General features: G+C 35.7%; 1 annotated feature.

Annotated features, from left to right (window-relative positions):
* Window positions 2794–3443: an enhancer, noted in NCBI's record as "OCT4-NANOG hESC enhancer chr16:61297235-61297884 (GRCh37/hg19 assembly coordinates)". NCBI's record gives its function as "activates a minimal SCP1, AML or CMV promoter by ChIP-STARR-seq in naive H9 embryonic stem cells {active_cell/tissue: H9 hESC(naive)}" and the evidence as "EXISTENCE:reporter gene assay evidence [ECO:0000049][PMID:30033119]".

Here is a 3667-nt window from a genome sequence, read left to right on the forward strand (position 1 = left end):
TAATTGTTCTAAGGCTCTTAGTGCTTCTTGGATCTCAGTGATGATAAAAATCATTTAAACTGGGAAGGAACGGACTTCAAAAACAAATAAAAAAGAAAAAGTGGATTATTGGTTTCCACTCACTGAGATTTCTGGGTTATACACTGTTTCTACTGAATCAGAATGTCATTTTCAAAATAAGTCTGCAAGTGATATGACAACTGCTTATCAAGCACTTACTAGACACCTGGAAGAGCGTTGTTTCTACTCAATAGCTAACTTTCATGTGAGCACTGCCCTCTCTGTGATTTTAATCCAGAGGAATTGTAAATTATTACTTATTTTTTTTATTAAAGTTGATCTCCTCAAATTTCAATCTGAAACTGGTGATTCCTCAAGGATCTAGAACTAGAAATACCATCTGACTCAGTAATCCCATTACTGGGTATATACCCAAAGGATTATAAATCATTCTACCATAAAGACACATCCACACATATGTTTATTGTGGCATGCTCACAATAGCAGATTTGGAACCAACCCAAATGTCCATCAATGATAGACTGGATAAAGAAAATGTGGCACATATACACCATGGAATACTATGCAGTCATAAAAAAGGATGAGTTCATGTCCTTTGCAGGGACATGGATGAAGCCAGAAACCACCATTCTCAGTAAACTATCACAAGAACAGAAAACCAAACATGACATGTTCTCACTTATAAGTGGGAGTTGAACAATGAGAACACCTGGACACAAGGAGGGGAACATCACACACCAGGGCCTGTCGGGGGGTGGGGGGCTAGGGGAGGGATAGCATTAGGAGAAATACCTAATGTAGGTGACGAGTTGATGGGTGCAGCAAACCACTATGGCACGTATATACCTATGTAACAAACCTGAACGTTCTGCACATGTACCCCAGAACTTAAAGCATAATAATAATAATAACTAATCCTTCATATTATAATAATAAACTAATTTAAAAACTAATCCTTAAAATATTATTATAATAATTTAAAAACTAATAATAATAATAATAATAAACTAATCCTTGTGTTCTACTCTTCAATTTACAACAAAAAGAAGAAAGACTGTGGTCTTTGAAGGCAGATCAGAATCCAAACTCAGAAGAGTCTCTCACTTATTTTTACCCTCCTTGTTCTCAGCAGTAAAATAGGGCAAAAGCAATTCTCTCACAAGGGGTATATTGAAGATTAAGTGGAAGTGTATAACTCGGTATTTATCCTACTATAGACATCTTGTTAAATAATACTCTTGTTTGTCTATTGGCAGCCAGAGTTTTTGAACAAGTCAATCTCTTGTTTCAGGGAATATAATAAAAGGGTCAGTTACTATAATACTAATTTTATTAAAAATTTCTTTAAGAATATTAAAATTATATTCAATATCCAATGTTAAGGTGAGAACTTCCTGCAGTTCCACACATCACCAATGGATTTGTTTAATGTTCTGAGATATTGAAAATCCTATTCCCAGTTTCCTAAATAAGACAAATAAAAAGTAACAACACCTATATTTCATAAATGTCTATCATTCAATTATAATTTAAATTAACCATCTATGAGAGTAGTGTAATCTCAGCTACATAAAGACATCAAAGGTTAAGTGTGAAAAATCCTTAGCAAAAGAGTTCCATTTCATCCTAGGCATTGTAGACACAAAACAAAACAACAAAAAAATAGTGGCTTAGTCTCTCCCCTACCCCCTAAAATAAATAAAACTATCAGGGCACCAAGTAGTGTATTCATTGTTTTTGACACCTTTCAAATATGAAACACAGAGTAAGGTACAATTAACTCTCATCCATTATCTTTTGCTTACTAGAAAGTTTCCAGAGTTATAACATTGATATAATGGTTGGAGACTTTCTAAGCTAATTTTGCTTTCTTGTAAATGATAGTGAAATTAAGAGAGTTCGCTGTTTTTGAATAACTAATGAAGTGATTCTTGAACTTAGCCTCTATATATCATTCTCTTTAGCACATGACTGTGACTGACTTTCCTTTTTTTTTCCTCTGTGTGCTCCCTTAGTTACCCTGGACACACATAAAAGAAGAATCCATTCTCAAAAAAAGAGGGAATTTTTTTTTCTATTAAAAATCATAAACCCATAGGAAGTCCAGAGCACAATTTTCCCACTGAGTCAGCTCCATGTCCAAGCTTTCCACTTCCTCTGGGTGCCTGGGAGTTCCAGCTTCCATTCATTGATCTCTTTTCTCCCTTTGTCTTACAGCACCTAATACATTTCTTATACTCTCCCATCTCTCCCTCCAGGGTCCTACCTCCACTCTCATGATAGATCTTGATCTCCCTACAGTTTGATCCTAGTTCAATCCCAGGAATCAGTAAAATGTCCTTATCTTTTTATCCCAAGAGAATTGACAGCTTTTTCTGCATTTCAGAGTGACTTACACACAGGATGAGGAAACCTTTTCCTAATACTTTATATTTCTCAGATAGTAACTTCAATATATTAAGAGAAGAACTTCTCTGTCTATTTATCGTATCAAAACCACCATAAAGAATGGAGAACAATGTTGAGTGGAAGAAGAGGGTTAGAGAACAGTATATGCCTTGGTGTCAGACACTTATACTTGATTTGAAAATTTTATAACAGACATTTCTCAAAAATTGCATTCACTGTTTGGGAAAAATTACACACATGTACATGCACATGTGACATACACACGGTGTACAGTATTGTAAAAGTGACCTCCTCCAAAGAATTGAGTTGGAGGAATGCCTAGACACTCTGCTACAAGATAGGGTAAGACAGAAAAAATGCAGAAGAAAGGTAAAAGCACAGACTGGAGCTATATTCTTGCTTACCAGTTGTAATACAAAACCCATAAATATTTTATTTGAGTGTTTTTGTTTCCGATAAATAAAACCCTCATTTGGAATGACATTTTATCTTATGTCCTCAAGCATTTGCTTGAGTTCCTATTTTCTTTCCCAAATAAGTAAGAAAACAGCCCCAAGGTCTGTGAACAATTTACATGACAAAAACATCATCTTCCAGCCTGGAACCTTCCCAGGGGTTTTGATTGGAAGATGAGTGAGGTTCATTCACAAACTTCAGAGACAGGTAGGAGAGTACAAAGCAAAAGTTAAGTACCCTAATAAGGTAGTTCTGAAGGCTCATCAGCTCCTTGTGTTTGATAGGTTCTGTCATCATTGCCAACACAGCTGCTAAAAAAGGCTGCCAAAGAGGAAGAAAATGAAAGAGGTTGAGACTGCAGTCAGAGAAAATATTTTACACAACTTGGCACCATCTGCCATTCTCTTAATCTTTGTTCAGCAAGGAGTGGATTGAATGTGGATGTCGACAATGACTCTGACAGCTAACTTTTTTGTTGATATAATCATTAAAACTTGCTGACCCTGCCTTACTAAAAACGCACAGAAGAGGTAAAGAGCATTCCATATTTGTTTTTAGCTATGTTTGCTTTGAAGGAGTCTTAAGAAGCAAAACAAACCAACCGATCAAACGAACAAAAACCTAACTTCTATTATTTTATTTATGTCACTTTAACTTACTTGGCTGTAAGAGCCTAATGGAGGTGTAATAGGGATTTCTTAGCAGGCAGAGAATAGTGCAATTGATTCTATGTATGAGCCTTCTTGGTGTGTGTGTGAAGTGGGAGAGAAGAAAGGGAGAG

The sequence above is a fragment of the Homo sapiens genome, chromosome 16 (assembly GCF_000001405.40).
Source record: "Homo sapiens chromosome 16, GRCh38.p14 Primary Assembly".
NCBI classification, from domain to species: Eukaryota; Metazoa; Chordata; class Mammalia; order Primates; family Hominidae; genus Homo; species Homo sapiens.